Source organism: Homo sapiens, chromosome 22 (assembly GCF_000001405.40).
Source record: "Homo sapiens chromosome 22, GRCh38.p14 Primary Assembly".
Taxonomy (NCBI): domain Eukaryota; kingdom Metazoa; phylum Chordata; class Mammalia; order Primates; family Hominidae; genus Homo; species Homo sapiens.
The window spans coordinates 48,165,515-48,189,942 of NC_000022.11; the positions used below are offsets into that span (position 1 = coordinate 48,165,515).

The window sequence follows — 24,428 nt, forward strand, 5'->3', positions numbered from 1 at the left end:
TATGCAAGCCTTTGTGTGTCAGTGAGCACCAGACCCAACAGCAAAGTGGCACCCATGTTGAACAGCACCAGTTGGCTGTTCCCTGAATGCACCTGTTGTAAGCGTCAGGGAGGTCTGTAGTGCAGGAGAGGGGCTGTTGCACATTGAGGAAAGATTGCAACCATGGTTCTGCCCATTGATTCTTGAGTGGCTTTGTGTAATACACTAAGCCTCTTTCTACTTAACTTTTCCTATCTGTCATCTCTCAGCTGGTTTCCAGTTCTGAGTTACGGCGAGTGATTAAGGACTTCTTTTCTCATGATGTATTTTTATCAACTCCTGAACATATTTTCCCCTGTGCATGAAGGTGGTCATTCTCTTACTTGGGATCACTCTCTTCCAGTCATAATTTGCACCCCACACATTATTCTTTGTCTCTGTGTGGCACTCACATATATACAAAACCACACACATACACCATACACACACACACACACATGCACACACAATGAGCATACGAAGCCACCTTGGAAGATGCCCCAGAATTCCTCTACCCTCACATGATATGACTAAACTTAATAACAATCGCATATTAAGGGCTGACTGGTCCTAGGCAGTGTATTAAACGCTTCACATTGATTTTCCAAGTTGAGCTTCACAAGAGCATTGCAAGGTCATTTTATTTTCATTCCCATTCAAAGGATGAGAAAACCTAGTCTATTCTTCATGTTGTGAAAAAGCCGTCATTGTGAAGACTCTTTTTTTTTCTTTACTTTCTTTCTTTTTTTTTTTTTGTTAGGCGGAGTCTTGCTCTATCGCCCAGGCTGGGGTGCAGTTGCGCGATCTCGGCTTGCTGCAAGCTCCGCTTCCCGGGTTCACACCATTCTCCTGCCTCAGCCTCCCGAGTAGCTGGGACTACAGGCGCCTGCCACCATGCCCAGCTAATTTTTTTGTATTTTTAGTAGAGACCGGGCTTCACCATGTTAGCCAGAGTGGTCTTGAACTCTTGACCTCGTGACTCCGCCCGCCTCGGCCTCCCAAAATGCTGGGATTACAGGTTTGAGCCACCGCGCCCGGCCGTGAATACTCTTTTTAATGTCCAGAGGTTCAGCCTGCTCATCAAATGAAGTCCAGTTGCTAATGTCAGTGACACACTGCAGTCAGCTCCACAGCTGAGGACAGCTTTTGCTAACCTGAGGGCCTTAACAATGCACTACACAATGTACGACACAAAAGCATTTCTCAGGTTTGTTACTCATTCTGGTCAACGGAACGGAATAAACACTTTCACAAGATTTGGTTGTAAGACTACTGTGGGAATTCAAAACTGTCAAAATAATAAGCCAAAATGTATCAGTATTCGTTCTTTGTTCTCATCTTCCAAAATCCACATGTTTAACCTTACAGATTTTCTCACAAGTCATTTGAAATTCCCAGCTGGAGAAAGAGCCGAGACACATGTCTAAAAATTAGTCGCAAACACATATGCTAACACACCTGTATGCACACATACACGCATACACACACACACGAGTGCACACCTTCATACATGCACACACACAGGTGCACACACTCATGCACACACATGCACGGGCTCCATTGGATTTTGGTTCAGAGCCCTATGGTTTGTGACAATCAGCAACAATTATGAATTGCGATCCGTGAAGGGGGCAGGCCATGGTTGCATGAATTTCAGCATTTATTACAAGGATGCTGTTATGGAGATTTCACCACAGGCCCAGCCAGGCCTCACGTTCTCATATTTAAATATCATTTGGAAGCTGATGAAACTCTGGAAGTGCTCATCTCCCTGTTGGTTCTAAGATTTAGTCTTCCTGGAACTTTTATTTATGTAGCTAAGTGCTGAAATTGAGTCTCAAAGCAGTATTTTATTATATTTCTTGTGGTTGGGGGGCCCGGGTCTGTGGGTCTTGTGGAGCTCTCCAAGGTGCTGAAGCATCTGGTTCTGCAAGAAAACGTTAAAACCAGTGGTTTTCAAATATTTCACTCCAAGTGCAGCTTTTATCACCTTCTTTCTATTAACCCTGTGTTCTAAAATAAAATAGGTCTGAGAGAATCTGAATTTAATGAGTGCTATTTGATAATTTCCCCACGATTTCTTGGTCTAAGTTGTAATTCCGCGGGCTGGGCCTTATGCCTCCAACATTCAATGTGCACGTCCTTCTCTATTTTGGCTCACTGCAACTTCTGCCTCCCGGGTTGAATTAACTCTCCTGTCTCAGCCTCCCAAGTGGCTTGGATTACAGATGTGCATCACCACACCTGGCTGATTTTTGTATTTTTAGTAGAGATGGGGTTTCACCATATTGGTCAGGCTGGTCTCGAACTTACGACCTTAGGTGATTTACCTGCCTCGTCCTCCCAAACTGCTGGGATTACAGGTGTGAGCCACTATGCCCAGCTACAGTTCCTAGCTTCTATATGTACTCAAAAATATTTGTTGAACTGGAATCCAGCACAGATTAGAATTTAACAAACCTGTGTGATAAGCAGGGTGACCATCTTGAGTTGAAAACTTCAGCCACTGAAAATAACATCAACAGTGTGATTAGAAGACACCACTATTTCTTGAGGAAATAAATGCTTGCTGCAAGATACCCTAAAGTCCTTAAGACGAGAGTACTTACATCCTTACACCTTTTGCACAGCCTGATGTGCCAGTGAGAACTCAATTTGGAAAGCCCACACTCAGGCATTCAGGCCTAGGAGGACTCATCGACTCCTGTCACAACCTCTTCCCTGGAGCCTCCCTGTCCTTGCAGCCCTTAGAGGTTACAACAAATGCAATCAAATTTCAGATGGGCTGGATGAGCTGCATGGTCTCAGTTGTATGTGTGTGTCTCGAAGACTATGTGGTAATAAAATTGGAAGAAGAGACCAGAGGTAAGTGTTTTCCAGTTGTCAGGGATGCTCAAGGTTTACAACCCTGGGGAGGTCATCCCTAAGCAGTGGATGGTGCACAAATCCAGGGCACCATCCATGCACACTAGTGGGAGAGGCAAGAGGGCTCAGTCATCCTACCATTGGACAAATATGATGGCCTGACTGCTTTTGGGATACTCTTATTTATTGGTTTGTCACTGGAGAAAGGTTTTATCTTCTCGCCCAAACCATGCTATCTCACATTTCTGAGTTGCTTTGCCTCAAGTATTAATATAAGATGCTTTATTCATTCACATAACATTCCTGAGAAAGCATTTTATGGCAAATCCTAATCAATATATATTTTGGGGGATGGAGAGGACAGTGTTCCTTGGCATCAAAGAAATACAATACTAGTTGGCCACAGAGACCTTTGGGATCTGGAGGACTCTGGGGCAGGCACTTGTTCCGGGGATGAACCTGGATTGACAGTGGTCCTGGTGGGGCTGGACTTTACTGGCAAGTTGTTGAGAACTGGAAATGTGGACTGAAATGGAGGTTGGAGAGACCTGGCAGAAGAGTGGAAGACGGAGCAATGCTCTACACCTGCCAGGTATTAAAACGTGTTTGTTTCATTCCATGAAGTCCATTGTGCAGAAATAGCCCCAGTATTATATTTCATTAATTGCTTTTTGGGAATTCAATATAATGCTGTGTGCATGTGTGTGTGCGTGCGTGTGTGTGTGCAGGCATGCACTCCTGTGTCTGCATGGTTGAAATTTCACATTGCTATTCACAGGCACACACACATACACCTGAGGCAAAAACTCATACGGGTCAAATGATTTGTGTTGTTTACCATCGTGTTTACAATGCACAGGATTTATGCCTAAGGTCTGTTTGCTCTGCTGCAGCATTGGTCCCTGGGGTTGCTGAAGAAACAAGCTTACTCAAAGAAACAGAGACAGGGAGGAAGAAGGAGGAGGGGACAGAATAGATGAAGGGGAGGGGTGAGGACAGAGCCTCAGGCGGGGCTGTGGAAACTTGCGTCTGCAGGTCCAGGCAGTGCCATTTCATCACACCTCCTGGGGCCCAGGTCCCATGTCAGGGGAAGCTCAGCACCCCTCCCAGTGCCCAGGGTGTTGTCAGTATTCCAGATGATCAAGGAGCAAATGCTGCTGGGTCTGCCTTTGTTGAACCACTGAGGGAACAGGAAGGAGATCACATTGGGAATCGAGCCTCTCCACCATCCCCTACTTACCCGCTATACCCAGTGTTTCCTATTCTTGTCCAGAATACTGGCACACTTGAGAGCTGGTGGTCAGTGCAGCTGTGCAGCCCACAGAAGTGTGGAGGGGGTGTGTTGGGAGAGCTGGGGTCAGCTTGTGAGGGGCATCGTTTAATTACTCACTTAGTCACTCAACTGACACTTATTTGGCAGCTACTCTTTACCAAGGAGTCACTGTTACTTATTAGGGTTACTCAAGCAGGTAAAGCAACCTCCTGAATCTTGGACTTTGAGGAGAGGTGGGAAAGTGTCCCATCAGGGAGCAGCCCCACTTTCCCTGCTGCAGTGGGGAGCCAGGTTCTCTGCTCTGTGTTTTTTCTAAAACTCACTCTGGCATATAATTCACATAAAGCTTCACCTAAGTAAGAGGGGACATTCTTTTTTTCTTTATAAAATAAGAAGTGAGAACTTATGGGCCTCAGGATCCTCCTCCACATTGAAGACATAGTGACTTCACAGCTCTGTGATCTGCACTTGGAATAATTTCCTCTGTCACTGTCTCCACTGGATGGTGGCAGTTCATTTGTCCCTCCATCTGTCCACCCATCTGTCCATCCACCCACAGACCTCCCGCTTGCCTTCATCCACCCATCTGTAGTTCCCTCCTTTCCTCCCTCTTTCCATCCATTCATTCATCCGCCCACCCATCCATTCACCCATCTGTCCATTCATCAGTCCACCCACCAGTCTGTCCATTTATCCATTAATCCATCCATCCATCCGCCCATTCACTCACCCATTCATCTATCCATCCATCCACTCATCCATCCATTCACCCATCCATTCGTTAATCTATGCATTCGCCCATGTATACATCCATTTATTCACTCACTCCCCCATCCATCCATCCATCCATCCATGCATCCATCCATCTGTCCATCTGTCCATCCATCTGTTTATTCACCCACTCATCAGTTGATTTATCCATTTATTTCTCCACCCAACCATCCATTCATCCATCCATCTACTCACCCACCCAACCACCCACCTGTCCATCCATCCATCTTCCCACCCACCAATCCACCTGCCTACCCACCTATCCTTCCATCCATCTATCCATCCATCCATCCATTAATCTATGCATTCACCCATGTATACATCCATTTATTCATTCACTCCCCCATCCATCCATCCATCCATCCATCCATCCATCCATCCATCTCTCTGCCTGTCCTCCAATCACTCACCCAGGCTTCTATCATCCCTCTCTCCTTCTCTTCATTCTTTTTCACACTAAGTTAATCTGTTCTTCTACCTGGGTAGGCGCTGGGTTTGGGAGGGGTTGGGGAGAAGCATGTGTCCCTGGCTTTCTCCTCTACAAACCAGAAGTTTATTTTGAAGATAAATGTGATTTAATGCCAGTGCATCAGATAGAGCCTGGTGCATGGATGCCACTCAGCCCAGTTACAGGAGGCCAGGGGTTCAGGGATCTGAAAGCCTGCATTCCTCACCTCATGTAACTCTGAAAAGGATCCATTTCAGAAGGGTCCTTGAGCCATATTAACATGGATGATCAGTAAAGATCAACCTACAGCTGCCTGAAGTTTCCCCAAAATCCAAAATGAGAACTTATTTCCTGTGCAGGATACTATCTAGAACATAGAAGCCACCAACGTTCTCCTCATGCCAGCAAATGTCCTGCCCCTCTGGCTGCTGCCTCTGCAGTCTTGCAGAGCAGGAGCTCTCCGTGGTACTGTGGTGGCTCTGCAAGCACCCACACAGGCCAAGCTGGCAAGGGCCCAACCACAGCTAACCTGCGTCAGGTGAGAAGGCCTCCTGACCCTCCTGGAAGAGGGTGCCAGCATGGTGAGGAGCTGCCTCTAGGCATTTGCCATGCACCTCCCCTCCCTGTCTGCCCTGGGGGCTCGTAGGATGCAGATCCTCCTGCCCTCTCGATTCTGGTGATGTGTGGGGCTTCCTGCCTTGCCCTCTTGGGAATGGAGCCACAGATGGTAGACCTGTCTGGCTGCAGCCTGGATTCAAGTCCTCGGCAGAGGGCGAGCCCCAGCTCTGTTGCACTCATGGCCCTTTTGCTTCTGTGTGGCCCTTTTGCTTCCTGTGAGGCAAGGATGGCACCTTAGGCTCCTCTTCCTTTCAGCATCTATGTCAGGAATAAATCTCTGGATCTAAAAGCAGCTTGTGTTTTCACTGGCTGAGGCAGTAAGACCTTGGCCTTGCCTTTTCTCCTGTGTGCTTGTTAGGGACTCTAGAATTTTCTACTCCATGTCCTCTTCATTGAGGGCTGTTTCCTTCCATTTCTGCAAAGCCTCTTCCCTGACCATGACACCTTTAGTTAATTTCACTCATTCTGGTCACTTCAACACTAAATCAATGCTTAATTATTGAGTCAATTATTTAATCTTTCTGGGCTTTAGGAACCATTTAGAGTTGATCCCCTGCCTTTACAATGAAAAGATAACACTCTCTTTCCTCCCTAAACTTCTGTAATAACTTTCTTTGATTACTTTATATAGAGATGCCTTATCCAAATATCAATCTCCATTAGGCTATGAGTGATATCTTTTTCTTTTATTTATCTTCCACAAACCTTAGCACAGCTTTAGGCAAACAGTAGAGGCTTAAATAGTTGGTTTAATTAGTTTGAGCTCTCAGCACCCAATTTTAGTTCTCTGCCCCGGCCCCAGCTATACTTCTTCTTGGAGGCTGGAGCCTCATGCTCCTGTAGGCTATGGCCTTGCACCCAGAGCAACTTTATCTGATCATGATACCAGATTCCATCAAAACCCAAGCAGGTTCTTATCATGCTTCAACACGGCAAGCCTAGGGCACCAGACCTCAGCTTTAAGTTTTCTCTCCCCAAGCCTTCAAAACCCTCTGCCTGCCAGCCCACCTAGCAACAGGTCCTTTTGATTAAATACCTTTCATCCCTTTATATCCTTCAGATTTTACTCTGACCACAGACACAGTTCCTGCATTAAATGAAAAGAATAACAGGTATAACCTTTCAGAATGTGTCACCAGGTTGTAAATCACAGACATTCAGTGCGCTGGGGGAAGTTAGGATCAGGCAGCAGGGTAGGGAGGCCTGTGAGGGTGTGCATGCTGGGTGGGACAGGAACAGCCTCAGGAGAGGGGGGGGTGGCTCTCAGTGTTTGTGGGTGACACCTGCAGATGTCAAAGGGGGCTGTGAGGGTTCGGCCATCAACCTTCAATGTTTGTATCATGGACCAAAAATGCCTGCAGTGACCTATGTTGTAAATCATTTTCTGTGTACATGGATCTCAAATTCATATTAAAAAGAGATCAAACAGACAAAAGCCAAAAATGCCATAGGATAAGTTGAATAATGCTTAGACACCCAGGGTGGACTCACAGAATGTCAGTGGAAGGCCAGGTCACTTCTCAGAACACGTGAGGCTTTGCTGTGTCTGTCCCAAGAAATCCAGACAAGAGGCACAAAGCCGGAAGGATGTGGGCATGTCCAGATACGGGTTTCCAGGGAAGTGGTGCCAGGATCACAACTTAGTGTCTGGATTTCCAGAGCCCCAGGTGCCAAGCTCAATAGTTTCTATCTGATCATGGAGTCATGGGCATCTTCAGGTGCACGGTTCAGCTGAAGACTCCTCAGCCCCGCTTGATAACACACGTGTGCTCCGTGTCTGCAGAGGCCTCTCCTTCTGACTGGCCGAGGTTTCGCCGAGTTCTCGCTTTTTATAGAAGAGCTTCTTTATGTTTCATTTGGAAGCCGGCCTCTGCTTACACTGCGACGTCACTCTGTCATTTTAGGAGCTGCCAAAATGTGGTCTCGCCCCTGTGTGTGCTTTAATTCATGTGAATCCAATTGCACTTCCCTCAGGAGGTTGCTTAATGTGGTGTCAAAGTTGAATAAATAATAAATAGGCCACATCAGGGCTCCCACGTCTGCAGCTTGTGGGGCGGTGCTGGTGGCATCTTTTCCAGGAGCATATGCCGGCTGGAGGGAGAGGGGTGTGATGGCTCCAAGTCCAGTCCGCCCTGCCCTGGATGGACTCCCAGATCTGCCAATCCAAGGATGGGAGGGGCCCCTTCACTTCAGCACTTCTCTCTGTGTGTTTCAATTTAGTGCATGAACCAGCTCTCTTCCCCGCTGCCTGTGTGCACAGGGTCTGCAGCCCTCGACTAGTTTATATTTGGGGGCTGCAGGGAGTCGAGGTGATCACCATTTAATCAAAGGATACTGGACTGACACGATTTGGTGGGACAGAAGAAAGAGCAAGCCTTCTTGCTGTCTTGAGAGCAGGTGCCCAGAGGACAGAATGACTTAATTGGGCTTTTGCTGCCTCGTCTATCAAAGCAAGAGGCAAACCCCTTGGGCTTCTCCTAATTTGTTTGAAAAGGCAGGGCGCAGTCATGGAGTCCTATGAGGCAGCATCTATTAGGGACGTGCACCGTGGGCCCATAATTCTAGGTAGTGGAGGAATAAAGGGGCAAGGGGCTGCTGGGGAAGACATTAGAGAAATAGGTGAGAGGACCCCATTTCAGAATATAGATAGGAAGCAGTGGTTCCAAATCCGCTCTTACTGGTGGCTAGAGTCATGCATGATTTTCAAATTTATAATCATAGAAATTAAAAATAACACACACACACACACACAGCCACTTCCTCCTAAGTATATGCAGCTGTTTCATAGAGCAGGGCTCTATGTTCTAGATATATCATCAGCATTCTTCCCACACATATGAATCCCTAGGCAGAGCCAGGAATGCTCCTGACCCCTGAGCAGTAGCAAAGACCCCTGAGAACTATTCTGAATTTTTATACTACTTTTTGCTCCAAAGAAGGAGTTCTTAACCTGGGGCCCTACATAAGCTTCAGGAGCAGAAGCCATGAGAGCCCCGAATGTCATACAAAACTGTAAGCACCTGCACAGGTGTATTTTCCTGGGGAGAGATTCCATGGGTTGTCCTCAGATCGTCCAAGGTGTGGATGGGGTCTCCAGAGCTGAACCCAGGCTGCCTCCTACACCACTGACAGCCTCTCTGGGGAAGCCCCAGCTGGGTGTGGGAGCTGGGTTCTGCACAGGAGCACACCTTCCGCTAGCATTACACTGCGTTGGCATTTCTAGAAGGCAGCGAGAGATGAATTATTCCACAACAATGGGAGTCTGAGACAATTATTGTCTGATTTCTCTAACTGTGGCGTGGCAGCTCCTAAACCCAAAAGACGGAAAGCAGCAGCCATAAAAGACACATTAAAAGAATATTAAACCACAGGAGCATGGCTACTTCTTGAACAAGAGGCCGCCTCCTCATGGAGTCAGCTCCCGAAAGCAGGGCCAGGGATGATTCACGGGGATCTGAGCTGCTGAGGCTGCTCCTGCCTGCTGGGTGCCCTGACACCCCAACATCTTCAGGCTGGGAGTGCAGTGGTCAGATGTATGACCACCTGGAGTGGCCATGTGAATAGTGTCCAGTACAATCTACTCCAATTCCTTTCCCTTCTCTTCTCTATAAATCAAACCTCTGCAGACCCGGGGATCCCTCCACGTCTGAGCAAATCACCTTGACACCAACACCGAGGACCCTACTGAAAACTGAGTCCCAGAGGCATCCTGGGTTCTGCTGCATCCCACCTAACTATAGAAAAAAACAATGGAGGGTCAGAAAGAAAGTGGGGGAAGCCAAGGCAAGCATGCACGCACATTCTAAAAAACCAAAGACAAGACTACACAAGAGGTTGAGTAAAGCTAAAGTTGGAGCTTCGCAAAGGTAACAATATTAGACAAGAGAAATCAGAAAAAGGCAGAAGCCACCAAAAGCAGCATTAGGAATGACCTCAAAAAAGTGGACACTTTCACAGAGAATACCACTGTGTAACAAAGCTGGCTGAAGAGCAAACAAGAAAATAATGGAAGAGATGGACAGCCAGAAAATACGTCCAATGAGTAGTTCAAGAATTTTCCTTAAAGACCACTCCTCTGACCCTGAAGTCCATAGACCCAGCTGGACATTTTCCCTAGGATGACTCAAGGGTGTGTTGACCTGACCCAAGAACTATTTGGCAATGCCCATGGCCCCAGTCCTCACCCAGCCTGGCACCATCACCATCCATTCCATGTCCAAAGCCCAAAACTTCAGTCACTTCTGACCTCTTCTCGCACCCCTCAGAGCTTCCCTCTAAAAAGGTCTTGGATAGGGGCCCTTCTCATCACTGTCACTGTGCACAGCCTCCTACTTGGGGATGAATGACAGCACTCACCCCACATCCAGCCACTTGCCTGCTCTTCCCAGGCTCCTTTGCAGTTAGGGTGAGGTCATGTGACTCATTTTGGCCAATGATGGGACAGCATAAAGGATGAGGGTTGCTCTAGACAGAGGCAGCCGAAAGCCAGTGCATTCCTTTGTTTCTACCTCCCTGGAGGACAATGGGGCACCCAGCTCAGCTGCAAAGTGGAGGAAGACCACCTGGCATGCATAGGCCTAGAGTGGGCAAGAAATAAGCCTAGTCTTTTGGAGTTTGCTGCTGAAGTGACCCATCTATCCTGCCTTACTTGCCTGGAATTACAATTGTATCTTCCTCACTGGTGTCTCCGCAGCCACTAGAAACTCTCTCCAATTCATTTTTAATAATCTGCTCAGAGTAAACTTTTCTAAATGCAGATCTGGTCTATGTTCATGTGCACACATGCATGTGTACATAGACACACACACAAACACACACACATGCACACTCTATGGTGGCTTCCCATTCTCCTTAGAAAATGGCATCATCCTGTCCATATCCTACTAGGAAATCACCCTACAAACCCCTCAGCCCGCTTGCCCTCACCCACTCTGATGTCCCAGCATTCAGCCTGTGGTATGACTTGGCTCTGTGTCCCCACCCAAATCTAATCTTGTAGCTCCTGTAATTCCTATGTGCTGTGGGAGGCACCTGGTGTGAGATGATTGGATTATGGGAGCAGGTCTTTCTCTTGCTGTTCTCATGAGAGTGAATGAGTCTTACCAGATCTGATGGTTTTAAAAACGGGAGTTTCCCTGCAAAACTCTCTCATTTTTTTGCCTGCCACCATCCGCGTAAGGTGTGACTTACTCCTCCTTGCCTTCCACCATGATTGTGAGGCCTCCCCAACCAAGTGGAACCTCTTTCTTTTGTAAATTGCCCAGTCTTGGGTGTGTCTTTATCAGCAGCATGAAAACAGACTAATACAACTTCTCAGCATCCCCGCTACAGCCCTCATGCACCAGGTTCATCCCCTACAAGCAGTATCTAGCCCCACTCCCCGCCAGTCTGTTCTGTGCACCCATGAAGCCTCCAGATGCCAGCTCAAGCGTTCTCTCCACGCAGAACCCTTCCTTGACCTCCCCACATTACATTTCTTTATTGCACTCTCACTGAACCATGCTTTTACCTTAAAAACTCCTATCTTTGTGTGTCATTCATAATTAATCAACATAATTACTTCTTTGATATCAGACTCCCTTTTAGAGTAGGAACGTGGCTACTTCTGCTCAACTTCATATTTCTTAGTACTCTGCACGTGGTTGAAGCCCAAAAACTCTCTGTGGGATACTGAATACACAAGAACAAAGAGCATAACATGGGGAGTTTCTGAGTCCTTCTACCCTGCTTTGCCTCATGCTTTCCATGGCTGAGCCAATTTGGGGAGGTTTTGTCATCCTGTAGGAAGGACAGCCACACCTTCCTAGTAATGGGCCAGGCCTTCTCCCTAACACAATGCACTGTTTCTAAAATCTGACTCACCTTTTGCAATCAATCTGTCGGTGGAGATTCTCATCACTAATTTTGGGCCTTAGTATGTTGAGCCCATGGGCCAATTCTGAGCCCATGTGCTATCCCATGGTAGAGTATAGAATCTGAGAAGCTACCCAGATCTGTGGCCCATGCAAGGAAGAGGACAAAGAGGACTCCATCCTGCCTCTGCCAGAAGTCCTCTAAGCATGAGACATTTCCCAGAGGGTTGATGGACTGCAATGGTTACCAGGAACATCCACTGCAGAAAGTTGGTCAGGGTCAGGATCCTGGAATTGTGACTTACCAAGTGAACTCATGTTGCACAAGTTTTCTATGCCTTCATCCCTCAACAACAACATCTACCTTAGAAAGTGTTCTGAAGATCAATCAAGCTAATTCACGCATGCAAAGTACTTAGCCCAGTGCCTGGCACAGCCTACTTGCTTAACAAATGTTCGATGTGGTTCCTCGCCACAGTTGGGCAGCTCTGACAATTTTTCCTCTTTCTGAATCCACATCTGTTACCCTGTAATTTCCTTCCATCTGTCTTGTTCCAATCCCTATGGCCACGCAGAATAGACCTGTTCCCTTTGCACATGTCAGCCTGTCAGAGGCATTGTAAGACAGGAATTGTCTCCTTCCAAACCTTGTCTTCCCGTCTTGCACCTGACCCAATTCCCAGGTCAGCTTCACCCCTGTTGAATGCTGCGTCGAGCGCCTGGTGTTGTTTTGTGACTGCTCTTAAGGCTGGGGCCCTTTGCTGTTACCACTGCTATGACAGATTTGGATCAGCCCTCTGCTTCCATCCTCCCTGGAATAGTTATCCTGAGAACTCTCTTTGCATCCCTACAAGATATATTTTTTTCCTATTTTGTTTGAGCATCAGATTTTCTAATGAGATGCAAAATTTCTAAAATTTTCTTCCTGGGAATAAAGTTGGTTTTATGCAAGAACTCAGAAATTGACCCATTCCACGGAGCATCGTGTTTGGATTGTGGGAGGGAGACATTGTGAGAGTTTCCCCCAGAACCAGCACTGAAGAAAATGCCCTTTGCCAGATACGCTACCAAAGGAGCTTAGCAAGGACAGGGGCCAGCTAGTGTTCTCTGGACATGGCCTAAGAAAGTGCAAGGTCTCCTGAAGGGTTTACAGACTTTGGTCTTCTTTTGGCAACTGCTCTGTGATGGTTGAGCCCCCCTGCCGGTGACTCCTTCCCCTGTGGAGGAGACTCTGCATCACCTAATAGTTCCAACGGCGACACGATGAGCCCTGGGGCCTGCACACCCCCAGGGCTTCTCCCTCCATAGGAAGGTCCTGCTGTTGAGTGTGCTCCTCCAGCCTCCCCCTTGGTCACAGGACAAGGGGTTCCACCCCTGCCTCCATGTCTCGTCTCTGCTGTGTCTAGCAGCTGCTCCTCACTCCTCCGCCTTCGCTTCCAGGTGTGAGAGCTGCTGCCCCTTCTCCCTCCACAACTCTGCCTGCAGTTTTCACAGGGCAGGACCTTCCTGAGGCTGAGGTCATCTCCAGGTGGGCCTCTGGTGGATGTCCCTGAACACAGGTGGTTTTCTCCACCCTGCCTTTAAGTAGCGTCACGCTTCTTCCAAACCTTATTACCCATGGCGTCTCACCTGAGGAAGGTTCCCTATGTATCTGTGGGCTTTCCCTATGTGGGGAATCTGCACCGTGGCCATGTGATACACAGCTCATTATTTCCCAAAAGATCTGGGTAGCTTCTCAGATTCTATACTCTACCATGGGATAACACATGGGCTCAGAATTGGCCCATGGGCTCAACATACCAAGGCCCAAAATTAGTGATGAGAATCTCTACCAATGGACTGATTGCAAACGGTGAGTCAGATTTTGGGAGTAGTGCACTGTGTTAGAGAGAAGCCTTGGCCCATTGCTAGGAAGGTGTGACTGTCCTTCCTACATGATACATGCGATACACAGCTCATTATTCTCCTCTTTTCGGAGGAGGATTCTGAGACTTGCGGAGTTGGCAGACTTGCCTAAGGTCACACGTTGAGTTTGTGGCAAGATTTAAATACAAATCTGCTGGCTTGAATTCTAGCAGACCAGGCCACACAAAATCTAACAGACTACAGCACAGTCCGATGACACTGCCAAAGTCAATATCCAGAAGCAGTGCCATTGTCCTTCTCCATTGCAGACAAGACAAAACAGCTCCAGAGGTGTCAAGATGCAATTTCCCAATATCAGACAGCAATGGACAGAGAATTCTAACCTAGCATCTCCAGTTTCCAGCTCAAATCAGTCTCCATACACCATAAGCTACAATGCACTGAAAATAGAGGTCACCTGATGAGTCCATCAACAAACACACTGGGCTGAGCAACTCCTCAGCACCAGGATAGAGAAGGGAAAGGAGCTCCCATCCTTCAAGAAGAGGTAGCAAGGCACCACGGGGCTCCTGGCTAGGGAAGGCCATGTCACCGACAGCACAGTCAGGAGAGAAATTAGCATAGTGCCGGGAGAGGGCTTGTCAAAGCTCATGGGTAGACTGGATTTATTTATTTTTACTCAGCACACATACAGCACTCACTGTCCTCCAAACACTGTAATAAATGCTTTACAAAATTCGCACCCAAACCTCAAAGTGGCACACAGGAGGCACTCTTCTTATCCCTACTTTGCAGATGAGGAAATTGAGGCAAATTGCCGGTTTCAGTTCATTGTTCAGGGTCATTGGTGGCAAAGGGCATCTGGGCCAGACTTTCCAGTCTCCTCAGAGATGTAGGCCACAGTGCCAGTGCCCAGGGTGGGGGTGGTGGGAGGGGCCCAGCAAACAAGTGCATGTGTGCCACGGGACCCTTCAGAGGGACACCCCTTCCCACTCCTCCACTCGCTTCTCGCCACAGTCCTCAGAGGCCCAGACCCTGTTTCTCCAGCGTCAGCACTTTCCACGTGGACAGTGAGCACTGAACACAGCCCTGGCACCCACACAGGAGAAGCTTGTAACCATGCCGCCCCCAGGCCCGGGAGCTAGGGAACCAAGGCAGCATTCAGGGCGTGGGTGTAAGTGAGAAACTAGGGAGGACCAGCCTAGCACCCCCGGAACCAGGGAAGCCCCCAGCTGAAGAAGAAGGGGGCCTCCCTCCCAGACCCTCCTCCCTCGGGCTGCCATGAACACAGCTGGCATGGGGGGCAGAATTCAGGCTGTCAACATGAGGGCTTTTGACAAGACTGGTTCTGACAGCCTCAGAGAGCCACACACATCCCAGCATCGTAACTATTTCTAACTTTGTGCTTCTTGTCACCCAGAAGCAGGGGAAACAAAGCAAAGCCATTTGGTGAAAGGTTTGGGCAGCTGCGATGCGGTGGATGCATCTTTGGGGAGGGGCAGGGGGACCATCCATGTGGGCTTCTGGGGCTGTGGCCTCTCCACGGACAGGAAGCCAGCTGATGCCCTTGCCCTGGAGCTAGGACAACCCAGGCCTTCCTGAGCCTCAGATGCAGGGCAGGGTGCTGAGCTCAAATGAGTCAATGCCCTGGCTCACCCGTGACATCATCTGGGAAGATCTTCAAAATACATATGGCTGAATCCACTCCTAGAGCTGGGGAATTGATTGCTCTGGGGTGTGCCCTGGGAACCAGGATTTTTTAAGGTCCCTGAGTGATTCCAATAAACAGCAAAGTGTGTCAATCACTGGATCAGGTGACCCACAAACACAGTATGTGGTTTGGGGCAAGCTATTCCTTCCTCTGAGACTCAGTTTCCCTTTCTGGGAAATAAGCATCTCAGACTAAATCATTTACAAGTTTATTTCTAGCTTAGCTTCTCTATGATTTAAAATGACACTGTCCTCATGTATGATTCCCCGTATAACTCACAATTTCTGGCAACTGCTGCTCAGATAATTATTTTGTTGGCTGGTGAAGAAAATAACAAGACAGGAAAGTCAGCAGCAAGAATTCAGCTTTCTGGCTGGCCAGGCCTTGTGGGTCTGGTGGCGATGAGCCCGGCTGCCAGGCAGCACAGCGGCCGCCCGTCTTGGTGGGAAGCGCGGCAGCACGCGCGTGTGGAGATGCATTGATGTATTAAGTCTGTCTGAAGTATCTCCCACAGTAATCTCATCTGGTGTTTTTTCTGTCTGAATTGCCAGCGAGCTACTGATTGTGACATCCACTTCTTCACTCCTTCGCGTCCAAAGCAGCTCTCGGAGTCTATTATCCATCATCATTTCTATCCTGAGTGAGCCTGCGCTGCCTTTAGAGCACAGAAAAGCTTCATGGGGAGTTAGAAGGGCTCTTTCTTGTGATGAGTTTACAGAGAGATCAAAGCCAAACCAAAGCACAGGGAGGAGGGCAGGGGAGGGAGAAGCCATTCTCACCTGTCCTGCCCTGCCCCAGCCAGCCTAAGACCAGGCCTCCAGAGCCCTGCCTGGCCCCTGCAGCTGCCTCCTCCGTGATCTGCCGGCCTCCAGTCCCTTCCTGTTGACGCCTTCACTGAAGGCCAACAAGACCTTTCTGGCATTTGAATCTAATCATGGTCTTCCTTTCTCTAAAATCCTCAGTGGATTCCCCAAGACCTTCATCAACACCCCTAAAATCTGAACCCCTAATCCATGGCTCAGGGAGAATCTCCAGTTCCCCACCTGGGGCCTCCCCCAGGCCCTGGGAGTTTCAGGGATACATAACTCCCAGAACTTCCCTACCCTCCCAGCTCCCACCCAGGCCAGGCCTCTTGAAGGCCGGTTCCATGTGAGACCTGCAGGCCTCAATGTGAGACATTGAGGAGACACTGGGTCTGGATTTTAGTAGTGGAGAGTTGTTCTAAGTCCTCCCCCGTGTCTTTGCCTGAGGAGGCCCTGCCATTCCCCAAGTCCCAGGTCAGGCCTCATTGACCCTGTGAAACCTCCCACCGCCAGGCCTCTCTCCCTACAGAGCCAAGGCCCACTTCTGTAGATCTCTTCTTTCCTTTGAGCCAGCTCCAGAGTAGCACCTGCCGTGGCTCATGGAGCTATTTCTGAGCATGTCTGAGCCAGGACGGCAGTTTGCCCATTGCTGTGTGCCCAGTACAGAGCCAGGAGCCCATCTCCTGCACTCTGCTCCAGCCCTCTGTGCGTGTCCTGGCAGCTGCCCCAGGATGCGTGTGTGCCCATGCTGTAACTCGAGGCCCCCTTTCTGCACTGCCCACCTGGATAAACCCTGCTCCATTGTCAAGACTTAGATCAACAGTCACGGCTGTGGAAGGTGTTACGGGTTGAGCTGCGTCTCCCAAAAAGATAAGCTCAAGTTCAAAGCCCTAGTACCTGCCATGTGACCTTATTTAAAAATAGGGTCTGCGGAGATGAAGTGGAGTCAAGAAAAGGTCCTAGTGGAGGAGGATGAGCCCTAATCCAGCGACTGACATCCTTAGAAGAGAGAAATTTAAACAGAGAAGACGCAGGAACGACGGCCAGGTGAAGCCAGTGGCAGAGACCGGAGTGAAGCGACTATGAGCCAAGGGTTCCAGAGAATGCAGGCACCCCCATGCCCAGGAGCTGGGGAGCATTTTCCCCGGGAACCACGCCTTTGTGTTGAACGTCCAGCCTCCAAACCGTGAGACAATCGCTTTCTGGTGCTTCAACCACTCAATGGTGGCACTTCATGACAGCGGCTACGGGAAGGTGCTGCAGGCTGCCCGTCCCAAGGCGGGGTCCCAGGATCCTCTGTGTCTTCTCTCCCTGTCAGGGTGGCTTTCAGTCAGCCCAGAAGCCTCCTCTGTGGCAGGCGAAATCTGAGCAGTGTGGCCTCAAGGCCCTGGGAGGGGCAGATCAGATCACATAAGGCGAGCACCGCCCAGCATCCACCCACTGCGCCTGGGTGGCCTCACCGGAGACACCAGTCACCCAGAGATGTGTGGAGTGTAGGCCCTGACTTCCAGAAGCTCAGAGGAGGCAGAAACACACAGCAAAGACAAACCAGAGAGGGTCCTCTCTGTAGCAGGGGGGTGCACAGTGAAAGGGGTGGTGTCCACGCAGGGCTGGTCAGGAAACCAGGTCCCTCCATGGGAAACTGAGAGGTGACTGGGGACTCACATGGACATTGGGAAGCCGAAGGAACATGGCTCAGGAATGTCACCGCAGAGTTCAGGAGAGCTGCGCCCTGCAGCCCAAGGGTATGGTGGGTGTTGCCTCAACGCTCCCCTGGAAGTGAAAAAAGCAAGGAGAGTGTCCACGTGCCCATGGAGAAACTGTGGGTCCCACACCTGCCTGTATGCAGGGCTGTGGCTCCTCTGAGAGTCACGGTCCTGCTCCTCTTCCTCCAGCCTCACAGGCATCCAGATCATCACCAAATCCTCACCCACAGGGGAGGTGATTCTGGGAGGCATAGCTCCTGCAGTCTGTTGTCCCTTGGAGAGGAAAGACGGTGGTGATGGAGTGACCGTCGGGCGCCTGGCAGTGACCACTACTTGGTCATCTGAGTGCCTGGGCCACCCCTTTGCCTGCCCTGAACATCCAGGTAGAGGGGAGAGCATTTCAAACTTAGGTCCCACAAGACACAGCTGAACCTATGACTCCAAATTCACACTCAGTCTCTGAAGAGGGAGACAACAAAACCCACAGTGTCTATCTTTAGGGGAGGTTATTTCTTGGGTTCTGACACAGCCCTTCTCTGACATTCTGTAATTAAATCCTGATGTGTAGGGTCAACACCATGACAGTACCTTACATTGGGTGCCAAGAAAGGCGGGAAGCAGGGGAAACAAAGCAATGTTTGAATCACAGGTGAGTGGGCGTCTTCTCTTCCACGGCAGGGTTCGCTCCTGTGAGCCTTGTTTCTGCACCTGGTTATTTAACACCGTAGGTTTTCATACCTTCTTTCTTCCATTAACCCATGTCCTCTCTGCCTTCACCTGGGTCCTCAACTAGCTGTAGATCTGTGCAAGGTGAAGGGACCTAAACCTTTATCTCCAAAGGGCCTGGGTCGTTAGTGGCCTTGCCCCAGTTGGTTGTATATAGTTGTCCACTAACACTTCCAGTGGACCCAGGGCCCCACAGTGCGCTGCAGGACCCTGGGCTTCGGGTACACTCCTTCCTGCCCCCATGGCGGCCTCTGGGCCTCCTCTTGGTCAGGAGCAGTCATCCCAGCCAGCACAAGAGCCCCCCACTGCCTATGGGGTCAGAGGCATGGAGGAACCAAAGGCGCTGGATGGCCAGGCTCAGCTTCCAGGTCAATGGGCCTTTGCTGTCTCCCTGGTACACACATCTTCCTTGGGAGCTGAAACCATTAAGCCTACAGAGCCCAGAATCAGGAGGACAAAATGCACATGTTTTGCTCATGTATGATCTGAGGTCATGGGAAAAGAAACCTCTCCCAGTCACTTTCCTCATCCCCAAACCCATGGATTTCTTAGCTATGGGAGAAATAGCATCGTTTACTGGGCATTAGGTGGTATGGGTTGAAATGTGTCCCTTAAAAACAATATGTTGATGTCCTAAACTTCAGTACCTGTGAATGCAACCTGATCTGCAGACATAGTCAAGTTAGGATGAGGTCGTTAGGCTGGGCCCTGGTCCATAGGACCAGAGTCATTATAAAAAGGGGAAATTTAGACACGAAGACATGCACGGAGGGAAGACAACGTGAAGAGACACAGGGAGAAGGCCATGTGGGGATTGGAGTGAAGCTGCCACAAGCCAAGGGATGTCTGGGGCCACCAGAAGCTGGAGGAGGGAAGGAAGGCTCCTGGCCCTGGAGGTTTCAGAGGGAGCGTGGTCCTGCCCTGCCGACACTGCCATGTTGGATGTTTAGCCTCCAGAACTTGAGGGAAGACATCTCGGCTGTACGAGCCATTCTGTTGTGGTCCATTGTTCCTGCATCCCTGGAACATGCTGCCGCAGAGGTGATGCCATGTGAAAGGCACAGCAGAGGGCGAGGCCCCAGCATGGCTGCAGACGGAGGTCTGGACAGAGGCAAGAAACGCAGAGCTGTGTCCAGAGAAAATGACCCCGCCACCACCGAGGATAAACCGCTGCTCCCTCTGGGATGGCAGTGGTCCAGCCCAATGCCTTCCCACCAGAGGAGTGCCTGGGTCACCAAGGAACAATGCCATGTCAGTGTCCCCATGGGGGAGAGGCAGACGGGAGAGTCAGAGCCAGAGATGGAGACGTGAGGCTGTAAGCAGAGTTCAGGGATGATGATGGGCCATGAACTGTGGAGTGTGGGTGACTCCAAAAGGTGGAAAAGGCAAGAAAACGGTTTCTCCCAGGAGCCTCCAGAAGGAACCCCAGCCCCACCCACGCCCTGCTTGTATCCCAGTGAGGCCCACTGTGGACATTTGACCTCAGAACTGTAAAGAGAATCAATGTGTGTTGTTTCACCGCAGCAACAGGAAACTAACATGCTTGGTGTTTCACAGTTAGATTTTTTTAATCCCCACTAGGGCCCAGCAGCAAGCCAGAAGCTATTTCTCAAAAAACAGGAGAGGGCGTGTGTTGCTCTAAAATCTTGAAGTTCACCTAGGCCTATACAGACGCCCTCTCAACCACAGAAACCCCAAGTGCCACCAATCTGCAGCCTCTCAGAGATCCAGAGGCAGGGCAGCTTGCATGGAGCACAAGCCGTTGCAGAGCCTTCTCTTTTTCTGGGCACCACTCAAAACTAGCAGCCTTTGATTTCTTGGCAAATAGGCCAGAGCAGTGAGCCCACGGTGCATGGCTTGCCTCCAAACCCTGAGACTCCACACCCACGATGGATTGGGCTCCTCATGGCTACAGTGACCAGATGCAATAGTTAGCCCATCTCCTTGGAGGGAATATTTTGGCATATCGCAGACCACTGAATCCCTAGAGACCTCACGCACATGGCAGCTTCCTGCACCTTTAGAGAATGCAGTTCCTGGCATTGGCCCTACTCAGGCCATGGTGGAGAAGGACAGGGCCGCCCCTGTGCTTACAACACAGAGCATGGCCCCACGAGCCCAGGCAGGAGGGGAGACGTACATGGCTCACATCAGGAAAAGAGAGAACCAAAGAGCCTTCAAGACACAGAGAACAACCAGGCCAAGTTTGAGACCACCCAACCCATCTCTGGCAACAGGTAACACCTGGGGTGGGGGCCGGGGGAACAGTCTCCAGGAACTTTAAAGTTTCCAGCGGAAGGTGAGGGGGCAGTTGGAGATTGATTTAGCTACTGGAGTGTTTGTCCCAGTTTTTGACTCAGAAAATGTTTGAAACCTCCTCCCTGTCTTTGAAGATTTCCAGAGAGGGGAAGACCCACACCTCCTCCGCACGGTGTTTGGCAGCTGGGCCCACTAACGGCAGTCCTCTTTCAAGTCCTCACTAACAAGGAGCCTGCTCCCCCTGTCACGTTTCTCATTTTACACAAGTAAACATCTTTTAATTGAAACTCCTGGGCATTTAACATTATTTATAACTCCTCAAATTAAAAGCCTCATGGAACTCTGGTTACATCTCATAACCGGTGATTCCCGGACTGCTCCCTAATTATTTGGGAGATGTTGTGTAGCATCAGTAATTATAGGGTTGATTTAAAACCCAGTGATCGGGGTTGCCATTTCAAAGGGAGCCAAAAAGGCAATATGCATTTGGACATCAAAGTCTCTTCTCAAGAGGAGAACCATCCAGGAAGCGTCAGAAGCCAAACTTCTAAGTTTTCACTTAATCGACAACAGTCATCGTGCTGGAATTATCCCAGGCCTTGCCTTGTTTTTGAATCTAATATCGTCTCCATCCTTAACCTCAACGGCTTACGTGCATGTGCTTGGACAGCCTTCCTCTACCAAGCAGCACCCTCCCTCTATTTGGAATTTGATGAAAGTGGCAGCTCACAGCTTTGCAGTGCTTAAGAACCACCTAGGAGCACCTGACAAAACCTTTACGCTGTGGGCACTCACTGGAACCATGGGGTGAGGCCTAGGGAAGCAGCATGGGTGAATCTGATGTGTCCTCCCAACCCCAGACTACATCCCCTCCAGGAAAGTCAGGCTTAGATATCCCTTGCTGTGTTTCTGCCTTATCTTTGCTGAGACGATGGGCTCCCCAGGCTTCTGGGCACAGCCACTGTGCTGTGGGCATTACCGATGGTCCCCTGGGCTTTCAAGATAGGTGGCAGGAGGTGAGATAAATGTTTGAGTCAGAAAGGCCTCAGCTTGAGCTGTATGGCTTCAGCCTCATTTTCTCTGCACCGTCTGCAGAGGCCTGTCTCCTTGGCAGTGCTATTTTAGTCCTTGTAAACACAGCCACCAGGGAACAAAGGCCATCAGAGCGCTCAGCCTGGCCCCACGGAAACCTCTCCAGGAGGCCATTCTGCCTGCTCACTCCAAGGGCTCTGCCTTCAGGTCTGCCGCCTGTGCCGCCCCCTGCCCGCTCCTCCTGTGCTTGAAATCTCTGTTCATTGACTTCTGCCCTGTTGAGCACCTTGGAGAGGTGACCCGGGTTTAAGGACGTTGCAGGGCTCTGGCCTCAGCACTCTGTTTCAAACAGGCCATTGGCGTTAACTTCCACACTTGACCCACAGCAAGAATAAGTGAGAAACATCCTCTAAGAACTAGGACACTGTTCCCCGAGTGGAAGAGGTCGTAACACATCCACCTTACTTGGCTGGTTTCAGGGTAGAACCGAAAATTATAAAGCTTTTTGAAAAACATACGAGAGAAAATTTGGGGGATCTGGGGCTGGGCAAAGAGCTCTTAGATGTGAGCCCGAAAGCACAAGCCCTCAGAGGAAAAATGATCCACTGAACCTCATCAAAATTAAAAATGTTTGCTTTATGAACAAAACTGTTAATGGTGATAAAACAAGCTGAAGCATTGGACGAAATATTTGCAAATCACATATACAACAAAGGACTGGCATCCTAAATGTATTTTAGCTGGAGGTGCCCTGTTGACGTCCAGCCCACGAGCCAGGTGGGTGTGTATGTCCAGCTTCTGCCTCCCATCCCTCAGCATCCCAGCAGAGGCAGAGATGACTCACACTGACTCACTGCGAGTGGGTGGGGTGGAAGCTTGGGTCCCCCTGGGCCCCACTGATGGCTTCTCAGCTCCCCTAACTCATTGCATCTGAATGGACACCTCTGCCATCAGGGAGGGAGTAAGCTGAGGGCCAACTTACCTCTTTCAAAGGAGTTATGTGGGGGAAGTGGGGTGTTTCCTAGTTCCAGCCTGTAGCACTTATGCATTCTCATTGATGTCGGGTGGGGCTCAGTCCTTCTGACACCATTTCTGCAGGGATTCAGACCGCCAGCTGCTTCTGTTCAGCATGGTTGGGGCACAGTGGAATGAAAGATAAACTCTCTCTGGGGCCCCACAGAAACTGCAAGTGGTGTGTGTGTGTGTGTATGTGTGTGTGCGCGTGTGTGGTGAGCATGTGTGGTTTCCCTTCCGAAGAGTGTTTATGTTAAATTTTGTCAACTGTTCTCTTCAAGTAATATAAACCAGTGATTTGTTTATTAGCCTGGTCATATGGCGCAGTACATTGATTTTGTTAATATCAAATACCTCTCATTCCCAGGACACACTTAACTTGGTCGTGGTATATTATACGTGTTTATTTATCTCTATGTAAATATAGCTTATATGTATATAATACAAATATATAACATAAATGTATATTTATATGTATATATTTTTATATACAACATTCATATATTTGCATTTTATATATATTGCCGGGTTTATTTAGTTCCTATTTTGTGGAATATGTCTGTGTTCATGCATTTTGTTCCTGAGGGATGTTCTGTATTAATGTTTGTCTGTTTTTTTCCACTGTCTTTGCCTAGTTTCAGTGTCATGGAAATGCCAACCTCATAAAATGAGTTGGGAAATGTTTCCTTTTCTGTTTTCTAGAATAGATTGTGCGGTGTCTCCTTTAACTGTTTCAGAGATTTTATCATGAAAATTCTTTCACCTGGAGATTTATTTGCTAAGGGGATTTAATTGGGAATCTATACTGTATTAGGTATAGCATGTGTTTGGTTACCTATTTCATATTCAATGTAACTTGGTACTTTGTGGTTTTCAAGGGAATTAGACATTTCATCTGCTTGTCAAGTGTGTGTGTAAAGTATTTGCAGTATTCTCTTGTTAGCCCTTTAATGTCTGTGAGGTCTGTAGTGATTTCTCTTATTAGCCTTTTAATGTCTGTGAGGTTGGTACTTTGTATCTTCTTTCTTATTTTCTTTTTCTGCCTTGCTATAGATTTTTCAATCCTATTATTCTTTTTTTTTTTTTTTTGAGATGGAGTGTCACTCTGTTGCCCAGGCTGGAGTGCAGTGGCACAATCTCAGCTCACTGCAACCTCCACCTCCCAGAGTCAAGCAATTCTCCTGCCTCAGCCTCCCGAGTAGCTGGGACTACAGGCATGTGCCACCATGCCCAGCTAATATTTTTTTGCATTTTTAGTAGAGACAGGATTTCACCGTGTCAGCCAGGGTGGTCTTGATCTCCTGAACTTGTGATCCATCTGCCTCAGCCTCCCAAAGTGCTGGGATTACAGGCATGAGCCACTGCACCCCGACAATCTTATTATTCTTTTTAAATAAACAAATTGGCTTCATTGATTTTATCTGTTTTTTGTGGTTTTAATTCTATCAATTTCTACTTATCTTCAT

At 48.9% G+C, this 24,428-nt stretch overlaps 1 long non-coding RNA gene across 1 annotated transcript, besides 2 other annotated features; it reads right to left on the reverse strand.

Annotated features, from left to right (window-relative positions):
* Nucleotides 1-1,660: 1,660 nt before the first annotated feature.
* On the reverse strand, nucleotides 1,661-23,099 carry LOC107985581 (uncharacterized). Its single transcript, XR_001755596.3, has 3 exons — nucleotides 22,931-23,099; nucleotides 2,479-2,524; nucleotides 1,661-1,945 (listed from the first exon to the last, which is right to left on the reverse strand). It is a non-coding gene; the product is annotated as an uncharacterized LOC107985581 (long non-coding RNA).
* Nucleotides 1,805-2,005: a silencer, noted in NCBI's record as "peak4510 fragment used in MPRA reporter construct". NCBI's record gives its function as "represses an SCP1 promoter by STARR-seq MPRAs in K562 erythroleukemia cells {active_cell/tissue: K562}" and the evidence as "EXISTENCE:reporter gene assay evidence [ECO:0000049][PMID:32103011]".
* Nucleotides 19,316-19,517: a silencer, noted in NCBI's record as "fragment chr22:48580642-48580843 (GRCh37/hg19 assembly coordinates)". NCBI's record gives its function as "represses an EF-1alpha promoter that drives an FKBP-Casp9 reporter gene in an ReSE screen in phorbol 12-myristate 13-acetate-treated (for megakaryocytic differentiation) K562 erythroleukemia cells {active_cell/tissue: K562(+PMA)}" and the evidence as "EXISTENCE:reporter gene assay evidence [ECO:0000049][PMID:32094911]".
* Nucleotides 23,100-24,428: the final 1,329 nt, after the last annotated feature.